General features: G+C 37.1%; 1 protein-coding gene across 6 annotated transcripts in view; it reads right to left on the bottom strand.

Annotated features, from left to right (window-relative positions):
• RNF150 (ring finger protein 150) overlaps positions 1–26,852 on the bottom strand; it is a 353,094-nt gene that overhangs the window by 191,742 nt on the left and 134,500 nt on the right. For 3 of the 6 annotated variants that reach the window (XM_011532148.4, XM_047415996.1, XM_005263150.6), the window contains one exon: positions 2,118–2,183. The exons of the other annotated variants lie outside the window; for them this stretch is intronic. In XM_011532148.4, the coding sequence (XP_011530450.1) occupies positions 2,118–2,178 (61 nt within the window). In that variant the 5' untranslated portion in view covers positions 2,179–2,183. The remainder of the gene's footprint in view (positions 1–2,117; positions 2,184–26,852) is intronic. 6 annotated transcript variants of the gene reach the window in all.

Below are 26,852 nucleotides of genomic sequence, written 5' to 3' on the forward strand. Positions count from 1 at the left end.
TCAAAGTTCCACAAGTCTCTAGGGCAGGCGCAAAATGCTGCCAGTCTCTTTGCTAAAAATTAACAAGAGGCACCTTTGCTCCAGTTCTCAACAAGTTTCTCATCTCCATCTGGGACCACCTCAGCCTGGATTTCATTGTTCATATCATTATCGGCATTTTGGTCAAAGCCATTCAACAGGTTTCTAGGAAGTTCCAAACTTTCCCACATTTTCCTGTCTTCTTCTGAGCCCTCCAAACTGCTCCAATCTCTGCCTGTTACCCAGTTTCAAAGTTTCTTCCACATTTTTGGGTATCTTTTCAGTAATGCCTTAGTCCCAGTCACAATTTATGGTATTAGTCCATTTTCATGCTGCTGATAAAGACATACCTGAGGCTGGGAAGAAAAAGAGGTTTAACGGACTTATAGTTCCATGTGGCTGGGGAGTCCTCACAATCATGGCGGAAGGCAAGGAGGACTAAGTCACATCTTAAGTGGATGGTAGCAGGCAAAGAGAGCTTCTGCAGGGAAACTCGTTTTTAAAACCATCAGATCTCATGAGACTCATTCACTATCATGAGAACAGTGCAGAAAAGACCCACCCCTCATAATCCAATCATCTCCCACCACTTCCTCCCATGACACATGAGAATTGTAGGAGTTACAATTCAAGACGAGATTTGGGTGGGGACACAGCCAAACCACACCAGGAACCAATTACCTTCAAATTCTTGAACTATTTGGAATTTCACAATAACTTTTCCCCATAATCCTCAACATTGTAAATATTAAACAGTCATAAACATCCAAATACGTAATATTTCACATTAGCAACAAAACCTTTTATTTTTTATTCTTTTATTTTTTGAGATGGAGGCTCACTCTGTTACCCAGGCTGGAGTGCAGTGGCGCGATCTTGGCTCACTGCAACCTCCACCTCCTGGGTTCACACAATTCTCCTGCCTCAGCTTCCTGAGTAGCTAGGACTATAGGCATGCGCCACCATGCCCAGCTAATTTTTGTATTTTTAGTAGAGATGGGGTTTCACTACGTTGGCCAGGCTGGTCTTGGACTCCTGACCTGAGGTGATCCACCTGCCTTGGCCTCCCAAAGTGCTGGGATTATAAGTGTGAGCCACCACACCCAGTCACAACAAAATCTTTAAATATGAAATAGTACAAAAAATTTTAAGTGACATGAGCCAACTGAGATGTGCTGGGAGGAGTGCATTTCCCCTCTAAAAGAACAGATTCTACTCAGCTCTAGCATATTGTTGGCAGATTTCTCCATTTTTCAAGAAAAGCTAAAACTCACATGCTTATCTGAAATCTCCCAAGTTTTGAAATACTAAAATAAAATAAAATATTTCCACAATCCTGTGGCAATTTCCACCATTTGGTGGATCATTTTTGAGTCTGGGATACCCTCTCAGACATGTACATGGCTTGCTTAGCCTCTCTGTTCCTTGATTCCTTAACTATAAAAATGGGGTAATAATAACCACACCCACCTAATAAGGTTGTGGGTAGGAATAAATTAAAGATAAATGAAAAGTGTTTAAATTACTGCTAGTCACACGGTAAGTGCTGAAAAGTTACCACTTTCCCGATCAGTTTTCCGCTGAAAATAAGCACTTGGCATCTCTCCATTTAAAACTATCAAAGCTTCTAAATCAATTGACAATATTTCCTGATACATACTCGATACAGATCACTGCTCTGAGGACTGTGCAAATAGGCAAGGAAAAGGAAGGTACAAGGTACCTACACTTGTCAATAAAATGAGAATGAAGAATCAGGGTAAATGTATATTAAACCAACCCAAGGACATGTACCAAAATTTAAAAAAAATGTTCAAATGGATATTAGCAAAATCATAAGAAAAACTAGGATCATTAAGAGAAGGGAGTGATATATGAGTTGGTATAATAGATTATAAGGCAGGACAGAGTGTGGGATGAGGCCACACTGAGTAGCTTCTTCAGGAAAACAAGCATTTAGGCAGGGCTCAAAAGAAGACAAGAAATGTTATTTAAATTGGGAGATATAATGGGGAAAGAAAATTGATTAGAAAGTTAAGGAAGATATCATGGAAGTCATTAAACTGAGTGAAGCGTGCATTTTAGAGGCTAAAGCATACCTGAGGAAAGGGAATATGGGCATGGTGAAATCAGCTTCAGGGGCTGGGCATGAGAAGACATTAAACCTGTGAACAACGATAAAAATGAAAAAGAAAACGAGATAAGTGATCCAGCTTCATTTCCTCTGCTAAAGCTATCCCTTCAAAATGCTCTCTCTCTTTCCAAAAGATATGGTTTAAACATGGTCCCTTTCACTATCACATTGAAAATCTCTCACCAGGGAGTATGACAACTCTGCAAGCACCTGATCTGTGAGAGAATTGAGATGTCCTATATTTGGCTATACTTTTTTTCTTCACTCCTTCTAAAAACTGCATATTTGCTGTAAAAAAATCACATAATAACATCTAAGTGAAATATTTCAAATGAATAAAATTACCTTTAATTCCCAAAGCTAACACAATTCTTATTATTTTCATATTTTCTTGTCTAATCTATGTCCGTAAGTCTACAGATTTGCCTAGTTATAATCGTTGAGTGCATTCAATTGCATTTTCTATTTTGTTCACTTGCCATGTATCAAAATATGGCCTTAGGTTTCTATAGTTATCGCTAGTACTTAAATGTCTGCATAATAGTTCATCAAGTTGATGCCTCATAATTTAATATCGGAAATTAAGTAATGTTCATTCACTTCTGTCACAGAAAATGCTACAATATGCATCATTTTGCACAAAGTTTAAATGTTGTTCGACTATTTCCTGTAGATTAATTCAAGAGAATGAGAAGACAAATATATTAACTTTTTATTCTCCCTTAGCCCATATATATTAACATGAACATGAATGGGTTATAATGCTATTATAAGAAAATTGGGGGAATTTTGGACGTACCACCAAAGACACTTAGCCTGGAGTGTGATTTATACCAAATCACACTTCAGTTCTAAAAATGCTCTATGACCCCACAAGGGTGCTATGAATTGGCCTTTTAATTAGAGTAAAACTGAATGTCAAGTCATGTCTTTCCCCCACCCCCAATTCCTCTTACAAGTTAATGTGCTGATGGTAAAGACATAAATAGCAACCTTCTCTCTTCAGATAAATTGCCCAAGAGAGCTGTGATAGTGAATCTACAGGCCTATAAATCTAATAAACAAGAATTATCCAATACTGAGAAATGTGAGCAAGACATGGCTCTGAACTGTATTAGGTATTAATTTAATAAAACGATGAGGTGAGTGCACATATCGAATTGAAACTACAATCATACAGAGTACCAGAGAAATTGCTAAAGCAAATGTGATAACAAACAACAAAATTGAGGTTAAAAAACTGGCAGCATTTTGTAAAATGCCATTACTTTAAAATTCACACACATAAAGAAATGTCAATGTTATTATTGAGGAGCACAATTAAAGTGAAACAACTTTGGCTATAGTTTTTAGCTCAGAAATTGGTAATAAAAAGTGGTTTGGAAGGAATAGTGGTATGTCTTGATAAAGATGGAAAGGTTTGGGAATAATCACAAAGTCTAGGTTCATACAGGCAATGTAAAATGAAGATTGGTTAGTAAGTTAGAAGATTGAAATAGGAAACCTTTAGAAAAAAACATAGCTATTGAAATTAAAAATACTCTATTGATGGCTTAATCCAGAGTATGGCTGGAAAAATACTCATCCCCGCTTATCATCTGGACACAGTGGATCCTTTCATTGCTCATATTTTAAAGTCATTTTTATAAGTCATCTATATAGAAGAGCAAAGTGATAAAATGATCCAGTGCAACCATATGATAGTTTCAAGAGAGAATGAGTTTTATTCCTTTAAAATTTGTAAATTCTTTTTGTTTTTTGGAAGACCTCTAAGAAATAATAAAAGCCTCATGCTTCTTAAAAGCAGTTAGAATTGCTCATAACAGACACTCAAATGCTAAAATTGGGTAAAATTAACTCTAAGGATTAAGCAACCATTTAAGCACAGTTAAAGACAGACTTAATAAACTGAATGATGGATCAGGAGAAATTACTCAGAATGCAGCACAGAGACCTGGAGATAGAAAATATGCAAAAGAGGTTAAGAGATACAGAGGACAGGGGATGAGAAGGTTTAATGTACATTTAATGAGAGTCCTAAAAGGAAAAAATAAAATAGAAAGGAAGGGAGGCAATATTTGAAGTATAATATCTGAGGATTTTCTACAACTGATAAAAAGAAAATCCAGCTATACAGGAATCATGCTTATTTTTTAAATGATGAAAGAATTCACACTTCAGAAACTTTTATTCATATACCCCACACACAGGTGTGCACTTTGAAAATAGTGGAGTGCATGTTATGTCAGCATTTATTAAATACCTATGGGCTACAAACGAGTCTAGGTATTAACATGCCAGAGCAGTACATAATTTAGGTGTTCCTCTCTTTACATCAAGAGGGTAACTGTTGACTCCAAATTTTGCATAAATTATTTTGTACTGAATCATATTTTAAAGGCAGTTTATTATATTCCTATTTTAAGATATCCTGTTATATATGGTCCTTGATAAAGACGAGAATCATTCTATTAACCAAATTTTAAGAAACTGTAAGTTTTTGCATATTACATTTTCTATAAACTAGATATAAACAGACATGCCAGCTATTTTGGCTGGGCATGGTGGCTTACATCTGTAACCCTAGCCCTTTCGGAGGCTGAGGCAGGAAGATCACTAGAGCCCAGGAGTTCAAATCCAGCCTGGGCAACATAGTGAGACTCCCATCTCTATTTTTAAAAATAGTAGCTATTTTTACAATTAACATAAATTTCAAAATACTTAAACACCTGCCCAAGGTCCTTAAAAGAGAAGGGTGTGAGGGGCAGGGGTGTGGGCTGGTGGGAGAGATGGTTGAATATTCAGCACTGACAGTCTTTGCTGGATCACCCATGGTCTTTTTATACTTTAGAGTCTCAGGTTGTTCCTCCTCTCCTTTCTCCTCTGCTTGAGGCCTTTGTAGCACATTGCTAAAATATGCAACAGAAGAAGGAAGAGATAGCCTCTGCATTCCTTTCCTCCCCTACACCTAATCCTCAGCTCTTTCCTCAGTAGCTGAAGACATGAAGGCGTGAGGGAAAAACGCCTCTTGTTCTCAGCTTCTTCCCCTTCCCATCTGGGAGCCCTGGTCTCAGGACTAGGTTAGAGAATCACGGCTTATTAATGGCTCTTGGCTTCCTCTCTTTTCCCTTACTCCTCATTCTTGTAGTCTTTGATGATTACAGTCAACAGGGCCCAGGGCTTGAGGAAAGAAGAAAATCTATCTAAAATGCATAACTGTTTTTTTAAAAATATTATATATGATTGATAATAGTGTAGTTACTTAAGAATGAAGGGCTATGACAAACCTTGACTATCCAAATACTAGCTGCATGTTCTTTGCAAATTATTTAACCTCTCTGTGTTTTGGTTTCCTCATCTATAAAATGGAGGTAAAAATTGGTAACTATCTGATAAGAACTTGTGAAGCATAAACTGGTGTACCATCAGGCTCCACTGACCCCAATTTTAGCTTCTGAGATTGATTTTGGGATAGTAAGTACTTAAAACAGTGCCTTGCATATGGCAGGCATATGGTAACATTCAATAAATGTTAATTCTTATTTTTTAAAATTATATTTATGTAATAGGTTATATCTAAATTATATTTTACATAATTAAAATTATGTGCATAATTTTATTATTATATATAATTGTAAAACAATTTAAAATTTTTTAGGTATGATTTAGAAAGCTATCAGCAAAAAGGTTCATGGTGTTACTTCTTTTAAAAAATTAAGTTTTTGGTGTACAGATTGTTCTTGGTTACATAGATAAGTTCTTTAGTGGTGATTTATGAGATTTTAGTGCACCCATCACTCGAGAATGTACACTGTACCCCATAAGTAGTTTCATCTCCCACCTCCCCAACCTTCCCCTCCGAGTCCCCAAAGTCCATTATATATCTCTTATGACTTTGCATCCTCATAGCTTAGCTCCCACTTATGAGTGAGAAATACATACCCTACTAGCCTCCCAGTGGACCTCCTTGGTTTCCTGATAACCTCTCACCTCTTTGACATGCATCAGCTGTCTCTTTGCTGGACCCCCTGTATTCTGGTATCTGCTCTTCTTTACTTCACACATAGCAAACCTCGGCAAGAGACCAACACCCTACTGTTGACACCCTGTCCCATCGATAAGACCAAACCCCATGTGCAGAAGCCCTTGTGCTCTGAAAGTGGTGGACATAAAGACTAAACTTCACTATGTTGGACATAATAACTCAAAGAGGTTTTCTCCTAATGAAATGCAACACTGCTTACTCTTTAATAAAATTAAAATAATAAGCCTTTAGCATTAATAGCAAGCTACTGTGGCTAGGGTGCTATGAACTCCCAGATGAAGCAAATCCATGCATAAAAATTTAAAATATATATTACCAATAAAATGCATATACACAATTTTTATTCTGATCTTGATATACCAAATGGATACATCCCTGTTAAAATGACTAAATATCTATTTTATTTCCTCATATATTGGAATTGTGTTATTAAAGTAAACCTTTAATAATATGTTGCATATTATAAGACTGCTATATACACATTATAAATATTTGGAAAATACATAAAGAAAGAAGGGTGGAAGGGGAGGAGAAAGAAAGGGATGAAGAGGAGTGGGGAGGGTGAAGAAGAGGGGTAGAAGAAAAAAGGAAGCAGAGAAGGAAGAAAATCCCTTACCCTTAATCTTCCTATCCAGGGACTGAAAATTTTGGTAGCTTTTTAAAATTGAGAATATGTGTACCCTTTGATTTTTAGTCTGCCTTTTCCCACAAAATATTCTGTGAACATATTTTGGCCAATACATAATCACTGAAATCATGTTTAGTAACAGTTGCCGAATATTCCACCTTCATGTAGTGGTAGGCAGGGCATGGGGCTGAATCAGACTGTACTGTGTCTCAGTCCAGGCTTGATCTGTTACTAGCAATATCACATTAGACAATTATTATACTGTCCTACCCCTCGAATTCCTCATTTCAAAATAGGGGAACACCAATAACTACTTCAAAGGATTGTTATGAGTATTAAGTGTGATGTTATAGATAAAATATTTAGCATGGGGCTTGCTGTACAATCATTTACTTAATAAATGTTAACCATTAGGTTTTCCCATTTGCCATAGTTGCCCCCACCACTCCCGACTAGATAAAGTGTCTGGAAGGCACCAATTGTGTCCTTACATAAGGTCCCAGTGCAACAGAGTTGACACATGATAAACTGTGTTGAATGAATCAACAAATGAATAAGTGGTTGGCTGGATGACTGTGTTAACTGGCCCTTACCAGTTAAGTGGTCAGTTTTAGACAACAGAGGAAGATCATTAAACATTTGGAGAGGACTGTCATGTCAGCTTAGGTTTCTTCACAAAACTGAGAGCAACAGGAGACAATATTTTGCCCCTATCCTGTATCCTGTGGTTTGTTCTTCTGCTCTCTCTACTTTACATCCATGATCTTTCTCCAAAGATGGGCTCCAAAGTCTTTCCTACAGGACCCATTCCTTCTCAGCAGTCCTTTTCTCACTGAGATTTTATTGGCCATCAACAACACAGCCAATGGGCTGTATGTTTAGTCGAATCGCTATGTCTGCTTGACTGTAATTCTATCATTCTTTGGTCTTTTCCAGATACACATTCCAATGATTTTGGTTTTGCATCATATCCACAGTCTAAATAAACTAGGTTAAAAAAAAGTTGACTGCCTATAATCAGTCATCAAATGGAATGTTCTCTTGCCTATTTGCTTTCAACCATAAAGTCATATACATTTTTTAAAATCTAAAACAATGTGTGCTTGAATCAGAAGTTTGATGGTTTTGCTCCAGGGTCCAATTTTCCTGCATTTTTTTTTAGAATTCATCCAGTTGCAATTCTCTATTTTTTTTGCAGTAATTTCTTTCCTAACATTAAAAACCTTGTATTGAGTATCATCAATTAATCATTAAGAATTCTAATAAAAAAATTTAGCTTTAGCTGTAAAAAGTAACAGGGAAAGTTGAGACAATTTACCTGAAAATGTATGATTTAAAGAATCTATTTGAGGAATTTCATAACAAAAAAGAAACCTTCTATCTAAGTAATCCCTCCTTAGAATAAAACAGAAAACTTTAACAGTCTTTAGTGTTTATATTTCTGGTTTCTAATATTCTCAGCCATTTAAAAAAAGTTTTCAGAGAACTATTTGATTAAAATTAAAATTCACAACAGAACCTAGTTTATATACTATAAAACTCTAAATATATACTTTGCTATGTGAAGAGGTAAATTCTATCTCCAAATGAATTAGGTGATGGAAATATAAAAAAAGAAATAAAAATCTAGACTTTAAAAACATTTGATTGAAGCTTCTACAGCCATCAAATATTATTTCTAAATAGCTGATATTTCATTTCAAACAAGTCCATGTTTTATTGCAAACACATTCATCTTCATGACTGAAAAAGGTGGCTATAACAAAAGTATTAAATAAAATTTATGTTCAGACACAGTGGCTCACGCCTGTAATCCTAGCACTCTGGGAGGCCAAGGAGGGAGGAGTGTTTGAGCCCAGGAGTTCAAGACCAGCCTGGGCAACATAGTGAGACCTCCATCTCTACAAAAATTTAAAAATTAGCCAGGCGTAGTAGCATGCATTTGCAGTCCCAGATACTTGGGAAGTTCAGGCGGGAGGACTGGTTGAGCCCAGGAGGTTGAGGTTGCACTGAGCCATGGCTGAGCCACTGCATTCCAGCCTGGGTGACAGAGCAAGACTCTGTCCCTAAAAAAACTAAAAAGAAAAAAGAAAATAAAAGAAAATTTATTTTGGCTTCCAAGATTCTGTGTAATAAGGGTTATGGTGGATAATAGTCAAATATGTGATAAATAGTCAAATCTGAAATTAAACATAGATATCCAGGGTAAAATGTAAACAAAGGTTTTTAATTCATTTTTAGCTTTACATTTGTATTATCTACCAATGTGAATTATAAAAAGATATGAAAAACCCCTACTATAAAGACACATGCCCATGCATGTTTATTGCAGCACTATCCACAATAGCAAAGACCTGGAACCAACCCAAATGTCCATCAGTCATAGACTAGATAAAGAAAATGTGGCACATATACACCATGGAATACTATGCAGCCACAAAAATGATGAGTTCATGTCCTTTGCAGGGACATGGATGAAGCCAGAAACCATCATTCTAAGCAAACAACCCAAGAACAGAAAATCAAACACTGCATGTTCTCACTCATAAGTGGGAGTTGAACAACAAGAACACATGGACACAGGGAGGGGAACATCACACACTGGGGCCTTTTGCGGGGTCGGGGGCTAGGGAAGGGACAGTATTAGGAGAAATACCTAATGTAGGTGATAGGTTGATGGGTGCAGCAAACCACCATGGCACGTGTATACCTATGTAACAAAACTGCACGTTCTGCACATCTACCCCAGAAGTTAAAGTATAATAATAAAAAAAAGTAAAAAAAAAAGATATTAAAAACCCAAGGCAAAAAAAATGCTTTGTATCATCTCTGATATCCTGGTACTGCATGGATGTACATTCGCAGAAGATTCCATGCAGATACTAGCCTAAATTTTCATTTTTTATGACTGCATGGAGGCTTCATTATTCTTTCCATACCATTTCAGAAAGCAATTCTGAGCTATTTGTTCACACATTGGAGATAAATAAAATATACTCTTTAAAAAAGGAATGCTTGGAAGCAGAACTCATCAACTAACGCTAAATATTAGCTTCTATTTATGTGATAGCAACAGAAACAATTCTTGAAAATAATCAGACTAGTGGTATGCACTATTTAACCCAGTATGGCCTACAATAAACAATATGCAATATTGCTCTTCTAAAAGATGGGAGAAATTAACACAATACACATAAGTGGGAAAATGCCACCATACTCACTGCAAGAGACATCTGACTTTTCTCAGAGAAAATTAGTTACAAGCATATCAAAGAAAAATGTCAAATTCTTATCTTTGCTTCCAAGGAAGCCTTGCAAATTTAGACTTACTCTGCCTAAAGAGCACAGTAGCAACTACACACAAAAAAATTAAGACATAATATACTCATAAAAATATAAGACTTAAAATATCCTCTCTGACTTTGAGTCATTGACAGATTTAACTTATAGCATATTCTACCGATTCACAAAAGGATCTGAATTAAGTAGGTCCTACCTCAACTGACATAAATAAACTAAATTTCAAAATTGAAGGAATCGCCTCCCAAAAGTACATCGATTTTAAAATCCATTAAAATATTTCAGGAAAGAGAATAAATCTGATAATTATGAGACACAAAAATTAAAGTAGAAATGTTTTAAGTACACTAAATACTTTTCCCAAACAACTTGTAACTGAGTTATCTTTTGATTTCATACAGTTTGAAGACTTAGGAGACACACTTTCATACTACAGCAGAGAAATAACCTTATTAAAACTAAAACAAGGAAATTATATCCATTATGCTCAGGTAACATAAGATGTGGAAGAAACACTATATTCAAATCTGTTTCTTCAATGCATGAAATTATTACTCTTCCTTCTGAGTCTTTGCGTAAAATTCTCTTTGTTTTATGTCTGTATTATACATGTCTGTATTATACATGATATAAAGATAAACATGCATCTTATATATATCTCTCATATATAGGTATGTATATGTATATATATGTATGTGTATATATATGTATGTCTACACACACACACGCACATACAGTAGCAAGTCTGAAAGGTCTACATGCATATAAAGCATCTAGAAGGAAAAAATATCACTCATAATCTTACCACTTAGAGGCAGCACCTTTGTTTTTTTTTCCTTTACATATACAAGATAGTTTAATACACAATAGTGTTCTCTGAACGCTTTAAGCTTGCAGAATATGAAAATATCCTTATCAAGAGCTTCTGCATAAGATTCCTAGGCAGGGATTTGTTCTTTTCTTATTGTTGTTTATCACATTATCTTATATTCTTAATTTTATAATTTCAACGTGCATTTTAGATTCTGGTAATACATGTGCAGGTTTGTCACATAGGTATATTGTATTATGCTGAGATTTGGGGTATGAATGATCCTGTCACCCAGGCAATGAGCACCGTACCCAACAGGCAGTCCTCCAGCCCTTGTCCCCCTCCCTTTCTCCGCCCTCTAGTAGGCCCCAGTGTCCACTGTTCCCATCCTCATGGTCATGTGCACCCAGTGCTTAGCTCCCACTTATAAGTGAGAATGTGTGGTATTCGGTTTTCTGTTCCTGTGTAAATTTGCTTAGGATGATGGCATCCATGTTGATGCAAAGGACATGATTTTATTCTTTTTTATGGCTGAGCAGCATCTTTGAACAACATGACATCTAGCCAGTTGATCTTGTTCCTATGCATTGTTTAGATAGATGAGATTCTACTTTGTAGACGATTTTGTATTCCTTTTTCAGATGACATAATATTTGTTGTTTAAAGAATCTTTTTAAAGACAATTTTAACAATTTATGAACTTATACTATAAATATGAAATGCGTTTAGCAACTTTTTTATTTATAGCATATCTTACCTTCTCACAGAAGGATCTGAATTAAGCAGATGTTATCTCAATGATATAAATAAACAAAATTTCAAAGTTGAAGGAATTCCCTTCCAAAAGGACATGGATTTCCAAATTTAGTGAAGCATCCAAGGTTTACTTAATTATCTTCCTTTCTGTTCTTACAGCCATTTAGGTTATGCCAAAATTTTTCTTTTTGAATAAGCAGATACAGACATAAATATCTTTATGGTAAAGCTACTATTTCCTTATGATACAGTCTCAGAAGTTAAATTAGTAGGACAAATTATATGGACCTTTAAAAAAGATTCTTGATAAAAATAAGCAAATTGTTTTTCTGAAACATTGTGCCACCTTACATTTCCAGTAGCCACCTGGGAAAGGGCTGGATGGGGGTGGACGTTGTTTTATTATAGCTTTTCAAGAAGGACCAGACAAAACTGGGTCTATCAGTAGGAACCAACTAATTATTTAGAACATACTACGCACAAATTATTATGCTAGACTCTCGGGATACAAAAATCCTTTGCAGATTTTACAGATTCTCACAGTTTCATGTGTGTGCCCGTATGTGTGTGTGTCTGTGCATTTGTATGCAGGTTATGTGTGTGTTGGTGACAGTTGTAGGGTTTATAATTACAAAAGTTATATAACCAGTAGTCAGACCCTTTATTCTAGCCAAAGGTTTTGGCCTTAGCCTCTCCTGCTTATTAAACTATAAGAACCATTTTGTAATGAATCAACGACAAAAAGTTCTACAAAAAAAAAAAAAAAAAGGACTGATGGCTTCATAAACAGATTTAATGAAAGTTAAAAAACGGCCTCCTAGTTAAACCAAAGCCTTTCAACATTTCTTTATTTTTCCTTTTTACTTTAAAAGTTCTACTTAATAATTATAAAACATATATTAAACATTTGCTTAACTAATACAGTGCTTGCAACAACCTTATGAATTAAGTGCTACTAATTTTCCCATTTTACATCTGACAAAACCAAGGCCACAAAGCTAGTAAATGGCAAAGGTGAGATCTGAACGTCGTGGACTCCGTAAGAAAACGTACACTACTCTGCCTGGTATATGACAGGCGCTTGGAAAATCTTAACCATTATTGTCTGTGTATGTTTCCGCTTTGGCCTATAGTTTGTAAATATTATGAGGTCAATGGTTTTGTCTAGAATGCCTTGAACACCGCTTGGCTTTTCTCCATTACAATAAAGCTAATCACCAGGCATAGTTGTGCATTCCTGTAGTTCCAGCTACTTGGGAAGCTGAGGCAGGAGGATCACTTGAGCTTAGAAGTTTGAGGTTGTAATGCTCTATGATCACACCTGTAAACAGCCACTGCACTCCAGCCTGGACAGCACAGCACCATCTCTAACAACAACAACAAAAAATTAAAAAATATAAAGATAATTATGTTTACACTGTACTCATATTAAAAACCACAGCAAAATAAAAGACAAAAACAAAATGGTAACTTGGTGATGGGCAGAAAAGGGAGGGGAGTAGGTATCACTGAAGGGAGAGGTAGTACCCCTTCAAGCGCTATTTGTTGAATTAAAGGCAAGGCAGAGGGTTTGACACTACGATGTAGCTTTATAAGCTACACACTGAACAGCCTGACAATTTTTGTTTGTTTGTTTGTTTTTGAGACGGAGTTTCACTCTTGTTACCCAGGCTGGAGTGCAATGGCACGATCTCCGCTCACTGCAACCTCTGCCTCCTAGGTTCAAGCGATTCTCCTGCCTCAGCCTCCCAAGTAGCTGGGATCACAGGCATGTGCTACTACGCCTGGCTAATTTTGTATTTTTAGTAGAGATGGGGTTTCTCCATGTTGGTCAGGCTGATCTTGATCTCCTGACCTCAGGTGATCTGCCCACCTCGGCCTCCCAAAGTGCTGGGATTACAGACATGAGCCACCACACCTGGCCCTGACAATTCTTAAATAAGTTCTAAGCATGCCATAGGGCTTGATGTCTCCAGATCAGCTTGCTTGTCTACAATCAGCAATTAACCCTTACGTCCTGGGTTACTATCTAAGATTTGGCCACAAACATGCTATCTGTGCGTGAGAGGCAGGGATAGGGAAGAAAAGTGACAGAGAGAAATGTACAATATGAAGGAATTTTCTGAGATTATTGATTTCTGAATGTTTCTGACTCTACTAAAAAATTTATATGAAACTATTAGAAAGAGTTTACAAAATATAGGGAAAAAAATCCTCCTATTTGTAATATATTTCAAGTGTTCTATACCAGGGGTAACTGCTTAGTTAACTTAAGAGGTAGCTCCTAATGAAAGGCAAATTTTATTTATTTGTAATTTTTTTTTTACATTGCGTAGTCTCTGTAAACCTAAGAAAGGCGAATTTTAGAAGGTAGTAAGATGAGCTGTATATGTGCTAGGAAGAAATTCATTGAAATTCATCGTAATTTTTAAGTTACTGAGTCCAGTCCTTAATAATAATAAATATTTCTGGTCATGAGGAAAAACTGACCTTGATGTCCTCAAGACCAGTGGGGTATGATATTAACATTCACCTTTCTCGGTCTACTAAATGCCGACTCCCTCCGCTTGGATGACCTCTGTCTACCCACACACTCATGGAAGGTTCATATGATCCCCCAAATAGAGATGATGTGGAATCAGCATATCTATCTCTATTTTGATGTTGAAATCAGCTGGAATCCTCTCTCTTTATGCAGTAAAATCAGAAAAGGCTTCTTTCCTGAAGCTGCTCCTGTTGAGGTAACACACTGCAGGCATTCTCTGTGCATGGGTGGTTCACATCCCCGGACCTTTCATTCTACTTGTCTTCTAACCCTTCGCCCTCAACACTATTTGACTCATCTGATCCCAGTGTGTTCCATTTGGAGAGGGATGAATCAGCAAAAACTTCCTCCTCCCACTGTTAAATTCTTTTTCCTTATGACCCTTCCCCTCTGGATGCAAGAACATTAGAACAGGGTGCAATTGTTAAAAGCTATCATTTGTTCAGTATATGTGCGAAAAAAAAAAAACCATTCCTCAGTAATTTTCACACTATCAATTATACTTTAAATATGAGAAGCATATATCTCCATCATCTGTAAGATTAGCTCATTTTTTGCAAGGGTAGCAATGTTTCAACAGGGATGGTGTCAAAAGAGATCATTGTACTGTGAACAAATAAGCAAACAGAAATTAGACACTGAAGCCTAATCTTAAAAAATGATGATGCCACCTTATATAATTTTTCAGTGAGTTTACACTTCTAATAACTTTTAAACACAAATACAAATCTGTCTTGATATTAAATGAGTTATGTATATCAATAATATACATGTTCTACAATTTTCTAAGCAAAGAGCTATAGTACCTTAGTAAGCATTCTGCTATGAAATAAGCTGACGATATTTCTACAAATTTTTTTGCAAAGCATATTTTCCCCAAACACTAAAGATACACAAAAGCACAAAACAAATAATGTAGCCTGTTTGGTTGACTACTGACGTAAATTAATATAAAGTCTGAATTATTAGTAATATGTACTGAAAATATACCATGTATGTTTTTAAATAACTTCAGATTAATTACAGTCATGCGTCACTTAACAGGGCTATATTTTGAGAAATGTGTCATTAGTTGACTTTGTTGTTGTGCAAACATCATAAAATGTACTTATACAAACCTAGATGGTACAGCCTACTACACTCCTAGGCTATGTGGTATGCCGTATTGCTCCTAGACTACCAACCTGTATAACATGTTACTATACTGAATAATGTAGCCAATTATAACACAATGTTATCTGTGTATCTAAACACATCTAAATACAGAAAAGGTACAATTAAAATAGGGTATTATAATCTTATGGGACCACTGTCATATATGTGGTCCATCATTACCAAAATGTTATATGGCACAGGACTGTACTTGCAAATACATCAAGGCATGCCTAATTCAGTTTTTATGTGCAATTGCTTTAAGAATAGATAATCTGTTGTTAGAAAACATGTATATAGAGTAATTGAACTTATCTAAAAAACTACCATTTTGCAAGAATGTGAAATCATCCTTAAGCTATTGCTAAGTCAAATTTTTCTTCAGAGAGAAAGCAGAGAAAGTGCAAATCAGCAGGAAAAGAAGTCCACAAACTCTGGGTTAATAGAGTCCAAACAGATCAGCTTAATTGTAGCTCCTGCAATGAGTTGCCAGGGTATTCCTTGGACTCATCAAATGAAAGTCTGTGGCTGGATATGCCTACATAGCAGAAACAATCAGCCCAATATGAAAGAACCAGAGAGTTCTAGGCCAAGCATTTAGTGTCTGTCTTATATGATCAGAGATGGGGTACTTTGATAACATTTAGGGCATATCATCTCCTATTGTTGAGGAAGAAAAATCTTTGTTCCTAATGATCTACATTGGTTTTCTCGACCAATCAATACCACCTCATAATTATTTGGTTATTTGCCAAAGGATATGACTATAAATTACTAAAAGGTGGTCTTTTAGAGCTTTCCACTATGATTCCTATTTTTGAGTTCAAAGAGGATAATTTCTCATAAAGACTTTTTATGTCAAGATAGGAAACATACATGTCAAAAAGCCCAGAGAAGAAGGCAAATAGAAGGGTTTTGCAATCATACATGGATACAGGTGAAAATTAAGTATTTCTATTGAAAACAAATCATGTATAAAATATCTTTTCTACCACTGGAACAGAGTCAAGATACTTTTTTTTTTTTTTGAGACAGAGTCACTCAGTCACCCAGGCTGGAGTGCAGTGGCATGATTTTGGCTCACTGCAACCTCTGCCTCCCAGGTTCAAGCAATTCTTGTGCCTCAGTCTCCTGAGTAGCTGGGACTCCAAGTATGCGTCACCATGCCCAGCTAATTTTGGTATTTTTAGTAGAGATGGGGTTCACCATGTGGGACAGGCTGCTCTTGAACACCTAACCTCATGTGATCTGCCCGCCTTGGCCTCCCAAAGTGCTGGGATTACAGGCATGAGCCACCATGTCCAGCCAAGATACATTCTTCTCAGTGAACTAAAGTGGCTCCTATCACTCAAATTATATAGCAAGTTTTAGCACTGATGTTGATCAAACAAGAAAAAAGTAGTTCCCAGGTTATTACTGGTAAATTTTATGGTCTTTTAAAAATGGAATAAGAGGGCTCTGTTCTGTTCCATTCATCTATATCTCTGTTTTGGTACCAGTACCATGCTGTTTTGGTTACTGTAGCCTTGTAGTATAGTTTGAAGTCAGGTAGTGTGATGCCTCCAGCTTTGTTCTTTTGGCTTAGGATTGACATGGTGATGCGGGCTCTTTTTTGGTTCCATATGAACTTTAAAGTAGTTTTTTCCAATTCTGTGAAGAAAGTCATTGGTAGCTTGATGGGGATGGCATTGAATCTATAAATTACCTTGGGCAGTATGGCCATTTTCACGGTATTGATTCTTCCTACCCATGAGCATGGAATGTTCTTCCATTTGTTTTTATCCTCTTTTGTTTCCTTGAGCAGTGGTTTGTAGTTCTCCTTGAAGAGGTCCTTCACGTCCCTTGTAAGTTGGATTCCTAGGTATTTTATTCTCTTTGAAGCAATTGTGAATGGGAGTTCACTCATGATTTGGCTCTCTGTTTGTCTGTTGTTGGTATATAAGAATGCTTGTGATTTTTGTACATTGATTTTGTATCCTGAGACTTTGCTGAAGTTGCTTATCAGCTTAAGGAGATTTTGGGCTGAGACAATGGGGTTTTCTAGATATACAATCATGTCATCTGCAAACAGGGACAATTTGACTTCCTCTTTTCCTAATTGAATACCATTTATTTCCTTCTCCTGCCTAATTGCCCTGGCCAGAACTTCCAACACTATGTTGAATAGGAGTGGTGAGAGAGGGCATCCCTGTCTTGTGCCAGTTTTCAAAGGGAATGCTTCCAGTTTTTGCCCATTCAGTATGATATTGGCTGTGGGTTTGTCATAGATAGCTCTTATTATTTTGAAATACGTCCCATCAATACCTAATTTATTGAGAGTTTTTAGCATGAAGGGTTGTTGAATTTTGTCAAAGGCTTTTTCTGCATCTATTGAGATAATCATATGGTTTTTGTCTTTGGCTCTGTTTATATGCTGGATTACATTTATTGATTTGCGTATATTGAACCAGCCTTGCATCCCAGGGATGAAGCCCACTTGATCATGGTGGATAAGCTTTTTGATGTGCTGCTGGATTCGGTTTGCCAGTATTTTATTGAGGATTTTTGCATCAATGTTCATCAAGGATATTGGTCTAAAATTCTCTTTTTTGGTTGTGTCTCTGCCCGGCTTTGCTATCAGAATGATGCTGGCCTCATAAAATGAGTTAGGGAGGATTCCCTCTTTTTCTATTGATTGGAATAGTTTCAGAAGGAATGGTACCAGTTCCTCCTTGTACTTCTGGTAGAATTCGGCTGTGAATCCATCTGGTCCTGGACTCTTTTTGGTTGGTAAACTATTGATTATTGCCACAATTTCAGCTCCTGTTATTGGTCTATTCAGAGATTCAACTTCTTCCTGGTTTAGTCTTGGGAGACTGTATGTGTCGAGGAATGTATCCATTTCTTCTAGATTTTCTAGTTTATTTGCGTAGAGGTGTTTGTAGTATTCTCTGATGGTAGTTTGTATTTGTGGGATCGGTGGTGATATCCCCTTTATCATTTTTTATTGTGTCTATTTGATTCTTCTCTCTTTTTTTCTTTATTAGTCTTGCTAGCGGTCTATCAATTTTGTTGATCCTTTCAAAAAAACCAGCTCCTGGATTCATTGATTTTTTGAAGGGTTTTTTGTGTCTCTATTTCCTTCAGTTCTGCTCTGCCACATACCTACAACTATCTGATCTTTGACAAACCTGAGAAAAACAAGCAATGGGGAAAGGATTCCCTATTTAATAAATGGTGCTGGGAAAACTGGCTAGACATATGTAGAAAGCTGAAACTGGATCCCTTCCTTACACCTTATACAAAAATCAATTCAAAATGGATTAAAGATTTAAACATTAGACCTAAAACCATAAAAACCTTAGAAGAAAACCTAGGCATTACCATTCAGGACATAGGCATGGGCAAGGACTTCATGTCTAAAACACCAAAAGCAATGGCAACAAAAGCCAAAATTGACAAATGGGATCTAATTAAACTAAAGAGCTTCTGCACAGCAAAAGAAACTACCATCAGAGTGAACAGGCAACCTACAAAATGGGAGAAAATTTTCGCAACCTACTCATCTGACAAAGGGCTAATATCCAGAATCTACAATGAACTCAAACAAATTTACAAGAAAAAAACAAACAACCCCATCAAAAAGTGGGCGAAGGACATGAACAGACACTTGTCAAAAGAAGACATTTATGCAGCCAAAAAACACATGAAAAAATGCTCACCATCACTGGGCATCAGAGAAATGCAAATCAAAACCACAATGAGATACCATCTCACACCAGCTAGAATGGCAATCATTAAAAAGTCAGGAAACAACAGGTGCTGGAGAGGATGTGGAGAAATAGGAACACTTTTACACTGTTGGTGGGACTGTAAACTAGTTCAACCATTGTGGAAGTCAGTGTGGTGATTCCTCAGGGATCTTGAACTAGAAATACCATTTGACCCAGCCATCCCATTACTGGGTATATACCCAAATGACTATAAATCATGCTGCTATAAAGACTCATGCACACGTATATTTATTGCAGCACTATTCACAATAGCAAAGACTTGGAACCAACCCAAATGTCCAACAATGATAGACTGGATTAAGAAAATGTGGCACATATACACCATGGAATACTATGCAGCCATAAAAAATGATGAGTTCATGTCCTTTGTAGGGACATGGATGAAATTGGAAATCATCATTCTCAGTAAACTATTGCAAGAACAAAAAACCAAACACCGCATATTCTCACTCATAGGTGGGAACTGAACAATGAGATCACATGGGCACAGGAAGGGGAATATCACACTCTGGGGACTGTGGTGGGGTGGGGGGAGGGGGGAGGGATAGCATTGGGAGATATACCTAATGCTAGATGACGAGTTGGTGGGTGCAGCGCACCGGCATGGCACATGTATACATATGTAACTAACCTGCACAATGTGCACATGTACCCTAAAACTTAAAGTATAATTAAAAAAAAATGGAATAAGAAAATTGGGTAGTATTTCCAGTTTAATTTTTAAGAGCTGAAGACCTCAAATACTTTTGCATTATCAACAAGAAAAAAGGAAATAGGAAGAAAATAAAAACAAGCAGGGAGGGATTGAGGGAGGGAGCAAAGGAGGAAATTTGTTGCTGGAAAAAACGTGAAACATTTTGGCCTGGAGTGTAATTAATTTAAAATATGGTACAAATCTAAATACGTGGTTTCTGAGTGTGATTACATTCTCCAATGAAAATACAACATCCTATGACTCTTGAAAGGACATATGTTAAGAGGCACTGGGATAATTTTATGGGTAACAGAGCTACCTACACACTTTTGGGAAGCACAGACAGAATCAAAAGAGATAATGATGGGAGCTCTTATTCCTTCAGAATAAAGGTATTCAGAAAATCTTGACAGCACTGCATTTGTACAGTCCCAAAGACCAAAAGCTATAATGCCAAGGCTGGCATTGTCAAGTCCTGGTAACATTTATTTTTTATTCTTTGTGGGGGAAAAAGAATCAAGTGCAGATGTGAGATTCTGCCATATTTTCAAGCAATTTCTAGGGCAGTACTATTTAAACTTAATTGTGCATATCAATCACCCTGGAAACTTGTTAAAATGCAGATTCTGATGCACTAGGTCTGGGGCCTCAGATTTGCGTGCTAAACAAGATCCCAGAGTGTGGATAATGATCTGCTGCTGCATGAACAAACACACTGTGAGCAGCAAAATTCCAGTGCATGAGCACTGAGGGCCTTTCCACCTACAACCATGCAACAGCATCACAAGAACTATTGCAACAGGTTAAGTGTTTTATATTATGAAAGAGCCAGGTAAAACGAAAGGATGAAATTTTGTGACCACTAACCAATCTTCTACCCACTGACCACTTCTGAAAAACAGAAACTGCATTACCATAAACTTTGACTGTGGCTGAAGTTCTTTGCAGAGTTATTATAGGTGGCCATAGGATAGTAGAGACGTACAGAGTACAGAATGATGAAAAAGATTCTAATGCCCATTGTGTTTTGTGGTTTGGGCATGTGTGTTTTCAGTGGGACAAAAGGAAAAAAGGAAAGGAAGATTCACACATGTATTTAAAATTTATCTCATCTTTTCTAGGTTGCTGTTATGGAACATTCTAATTGTATAGTAGCAAGTGATATAAGAGTGTAAACATCCTCACAGCATCAAGTAGTATACAAAAAGGCAATCACAAATATAATTACATCTTTAAAAACTTTTTGTATAAATATTTGAAAATTGTGAATTATAACATAGACAGGTAGATGTGAAAAGTGCACATTGAATTTACCATCCCTATGAAAAGTAATTTCAGTTCTCAGTCTTATTTGTACTTGATGCACCACTATAATTTATTAACAGAATAGCATCATATTCAGTCTGGCTTCTTGAATTAGCTAAATCACCTCCCAGAATCAAAGTCTCAAAACAAAAAAGGCTTCCATATTTAAAAACAATTATTTTATATTCTTTTGAATCACTATGCTTTCTACACTGGAAATTCCCACCTCATGCTATATTTGTCAGCTATAGTTTGTCAATGTCATCTACCTTGCTTGATAGGTAAACCATCACTAGAGGAAGTACCCACACAAGTTCCATTATCTGTGATCCCTCAGGGCATCATATTTAGTCACGGCACCACGGCCTGATCAGCCATCATGTTAATCCCAGCTACATCAGGTGAGCCAGGGACATGGTACCAAGTAGAAGACAGAAGTAAAAAGGAGCAATGGAAGAAGTGGAAATAGGCTTGGATGAAGGGGAAAGGACTCTTCATGGCTACAGCCAGTCTTTCATCAGTTTTCTGCGAAGGGTCAAGGAAAATGGCAGTGACTATCCCAGAGATAGGCACACAAGGGGTAAGCCACAGATACCGGGCATTATCTCCTTTGCTTTCTTCCTAACCCATGTTTCCAATCCAAAACAAAGGTTTCAGCACAGGCCTCATCCCCAGAGTAAAATATCACAGATCAACTCTTATCTGCTTTCTGAGATCCCTGTGCCTCAGTATTTAAATTTTTATAGTGGCAATAATCTCCCCGCTTCCATTTCATGGGGGATGCAAAATAAAATGAGATAGTAACACAGGCGAAGAGGACTCTGGAAAGAGGAAGGACTATGTCATTCGCTATTACTTACTACTCACAATACTTATTATTACTGCTCTTCAAATTTATTTCCTGAATTGCTACACTGACCTAAGGTGGCCAGCAATTAATACAATATCAAGCTCGGGGGGGGAAGTCTAGGGAAAAATGGCAGGCAAGTATAATTTTAAAATTTAAATTCAATGTAATTCCTGTTTTTATGTCTGACCAGCTGGGCTTGGTCATCTCTACAATCCTAGCTATAAGGAAGGGTGGAGATGACAGAAAATTAAGTCTTACCTAAAACGCAAGGGATAAAGATAACTGTCCAGGTAGAGAGGGAAGGAAAAGGGTCTGGGGAATGGACTGGGGAGCGGGGAGTGGAGCCAGATGTTGCATTCAGTTCAGAGGGCTGCAGCATGAGGTGGGGAAGCCAAGCAAGGGGGTGATTCCTGAGGTAGAGGACTGTTCCTGAGACTCCCCCATCCTGGACTTCTGGGCCAGCAGAAGAATTTGGTAGTTTGAAGGCAATGGAGGAAGGTATAACCAATATATATGGACCATGGTAGAATTTAATGTAATTATGAATCTTGAACTTTTGAGAGCAGATTCTTTTAAAAAATATATAATGAATAAAATCTTTCAGTCACAGAAGTGGCTGATATTAAGCAATATCCTGCGAGCAGAGAATCAAGTTTCAGTGCCATGCAATTCACAACCACAATGATGGACACACAAGTCTGGCCCTGTTGGTTGTGTAGCATTACCACGGAGTGTTAATAAGACAGGACAGATATGCCTGGCCACTAGATAAAGGGGAATTCTGACCACAGTCAGAATGGGAAAGAGTGATTCCAGAATTCTTCTTGACAGAAAGCTTGATGCCTGTCTCAGTCTGGGTCATAACTAAAAATAGAAACCACAATAATACTTCAAACAAAGAAAATTGGTTCACAAGAAAAAAACTGAAAAACCAAACAGAGGAGATGAAGGCAACCTAGGGATTAGCATCAGTAGGAGGTTCTACCACCCCTAGAGGACTAGAGTAATAAAAGGAAGGGGTATGGTACTAAAGCCCAGAGGCTAGGACTGGTCTGTGGGATCTAGACCAAAAAAGGCAGGCATAACCACTCCAGAGATGCCACCCAAAGCAGGATACAGCTCTCAGGCTTCTCCTCTACCACTATGTTGCATCAGTGCCTCTCATTGCCAAACCTTCCCAGAAATCAGCTGGCAAGAGGGACTGTAATGCTGTTTGTGATACAAGAAAAGGGCAAGCGACGGATCTGAGAGCAAACTAGCATATGATGGCAACCAAGACTCTAGCCATTAGGTTTATCCAGTTAACCTCTTGCACTGACCTTGCACACCAAACCACCTTCTAAATACCATGTGAATGGAAACTACTCCCTAACCAGCACATTACATATTCTATTTCCCTTGGGAGCTACATTTCTGACTATAAATTAATAAAGTGGAACTCTTTTGTCTTAAATATACTGTCCCGTGAGTTTTGTTAGTGTGATTCAATCTCCTTCAATGCAATCAAGATCTTGGTCTGAGGAACTGAATACAGACCAAAGTCACCCAACTAAGGGAAGCCGGTTTCAGAGCTGACTCTAGAGCAGGGAGGAATGGGCAAGTGTTTTTTTAAGAATCAGAAGATATGTATTTTAGGCTTCATGGACCATATTATCTGTTGCAACTATTCAACTCTGCACTGTAATGCGAAAGCAGCTATAGGCGATACTTAAACAAATGGGTGTGGCTGTGTTCCAGTAAAACGTTATTCACAAAAACAGCCAGATTTGGTCCTCAGGCAGGTCCATACTTTGCTGACCCTTGGTCTACACCAAAGTTGGCCAATTAAGGAAAGCCTATCTGGAAGTAACTTTCAAAATGTAGCAATAGTAGTTAAAAATTTGAGGGTAGCACTGATATCCATTGTTATGTTTACTAATTAGAATTATAGCCTCTAATCCCAGTCTATTAATCAAAATTCAGAATATTGCTATATTTTCCCCTGAATTATTTATCATAAATTACTTAGAAAATCTCTCTAGTTTCTTTTCTTTTAACACAATTTTTATATTCACTGCAGCTTCTGAAATACTGTTTTTCTACATCATTTGAGTTGCAGCTAATTAAAACTGAAATAGGACTTAAATTTTTTCCATTTAGTTTCTCAAAATATTTCCATTTCTTGTACTTACTAAAATTGCTGTGTCATTCTTTATTAATTTTTCTTAAGTGAGGTTTGCTGGGAAAATCTCTAGCAGAAGATAATTTTCTCAGTGGGGTGAGGGATAAAAGACTACACATTGGGTACAGTGTACACTGCTCAGGTGACAGGTGCACCAAAGTCTCAGAAATCACCATTAAAGAACTTGATATAACCAAAAACCACCTGTTCTCCCAAAACTAGTGAAATAAAATAAAAATAAATGAAGACAATTTTCTCTCAAAACATATTTTTAAAGATCTGATAGATAAGTGATCATACTATCCAGTCAATAATTTCAATAAAAATGTATAGGGACATAATATACATTAAAACATTACATATCTTTTATAACACTGCAAACAGGAACAACTCTAAAGATTTCTGTGAAGTTTTCTAAAACTGCATAAAAATATTTTCTAAAAGATGACATGTACAGGAAAAATCATTTCCAGTATCTTCCAGACCTTGCATGCTTTGTTCTAATGCCCTTCTCCATTTGTCATTTGCTCCAAATTCATTTTGCCTCTCTACTACCCTTGAGTTAGGCATATTTCCCATTTCTAAATTAAATTGCTTTTTAAAAAATAATAAACAACTAGATCAGGATATTCAGTTTTCCTTTTCATCCTCTCTGAAAACAGTTGCCTGTAACCTCTTCCTTGATCTGGAGTGGAAGATCAGGCCACAGGTTCTGAAGCACATGCAAATATGATCTGATTTAACCAGCCACTGTGGGCCTGGCTCCCCAGTGTCTCAGAATAATGTAAGGCTCAAGTATAATGTCAAGCCTTCAAACTGAGCTTTTTACTGTTCTTCATCTAGTATTCCTCCTGCACATACTTACCTGTTAAATTTCAGCACCTTTGTGGGTAGATCCTGATTTTCCTCCATTCCTGACCTCCCTTATAAAAGATGGTCATTCCTGACCATCTTTGAAAATTCTATCAAACTGACATAACCAGCCCTTTTGAGACCTTTACTTGTCTCTGAATAAAAACACATTGCCTATACAATGCAAATATTATTCACAAAAATGTTTCAAATAGTAAATACTAAATAGTTTAGTTTTTTTCATTTAAATTGTATTCATTTTAAAATATTTAATATATTCCTATGCTAGTGAAGGGCAGTTTCTCGCATGGTCTAGACGATCCTGTTTGCAGGGCAGCTTTGATTCTATCCCCATTCCAGGCACTTGATATCAATGGAATTGCTATTCTTGCCTCCCAAATCCTAAAATGTAAGTTTCAAGGGTTAAGCTTGAGAAGTGGCTGGTCATGATCCTGAAAAAGTCACCTGGTTTAGGGTTGTGGCACTTTTCAGCTCTACTCACTACACCTCCTTCTATCATATTGGGGGAGAAGAAGTAAAAAAGGGGGATAGAAATCAATGTGTTATACCCACTCAAAATGAGAGCAGACCCAAGAGCAATGAAAACATGTTCACACAAGACCCTCTACACAAATGTTTACAGCAGCTTTACATATAATGGCCCCAAAGTGGAATCAACAAATAGTTTCAATGAGTGAATGAATACACAAACTATGGCACATCCATACAGAAAAATACTACTCCGGAGTGAACTGTTGATACAACATGGATGAATATCAAATATATTATGTTAAGTAGAAGAAGCCAGATGCAAAAGGCTACATATGTGACTGCAAACGGGCAGCACAAAAGCATTTTGGGGCTGATGGAACTGTTCTGTATCTTGCTTGTGATGGTGCTATGTAACTCTTATGAAAACTCATCGGCCTGTACAAAAAATAAATTTAATTATATGTGAGATAAAAAATAAATGTTAAAAAATTTGTTTGCAAATTAAAAGAGAGAAGGGAGAGATGAAGTGGGCTCCTCCTGGCTGTGGAAGCAAGAACAGAGCCCACATTCCACCATTTCACTAAATTCTACCATTGTTTATAACTTGAGGGAGATTCCAGCCTTCTTTTCCTTATGTTTCCTCTACCTGGTTAAGTGACCAACCAGCCTAGGGTTCTGACTACAAACAAATCAGGATTCTGCACCTCCAAAGGTTTTGCTATCCTGGCCCTGTGCCCATGCTGAAGGCAGATTATCAGGCCACTTCTGAGGCTCTGGAGGCCTATGCCAGGGATGGCCTTTGTTCGGGGTTTTGTCCTGCTTTTCTGCCCATTATGGTTGTTTCTCTAATGTAAATTATGAAGGCTTTGATGTTTTCTTGCAGTAGCATTCAAACAAAACAAAGCAAAAATGCAGCAGCTGTTGCCTGTATTAATCTCTGAGATTTTGACCTGGAAAGAAAAAGAATCATTTTTTTTTTCTTGAAACCTAAGAGTCCCAAGGGAAGCAGAGCAGTCTGCTCTAAATTTTTTTAAATAAAATGTCATCATGCTCTAAAAATGATGGCATAAATTAATTCTCTGGGAATTTATCCTTGTCCAAAATGAGACCCAGTGCAACCAAGAGATGCCTGTACTTAACCATTCCCTCAGTGAATGGGGTAAATTGTGAATGGTGACAGGGATGCCCTAGGCCAACAGGGACTTCAATGAATAAAAGCAACTGCAATCCTTTTTCTCTCTTCCCCTCTTCTTAAAATCTCAGAAGACTGAGCAATTTTGAAACGGTGTACTGGGGGAGGAGTGGGGCTCCATTTACATGCTTCTCTGTTTTGCAA

Source organism: Homo sapiens, chromosome 4 (assembly GCF_000001405.40).
Source record: "Homo sapiens chromosome 4, GRCh38.p14 Primary Assembly".
NCBI lineage: Eukaryota > Metazoa > Chordata > Mammalia > Primates > Hominidae > Homo > Homo sapiens.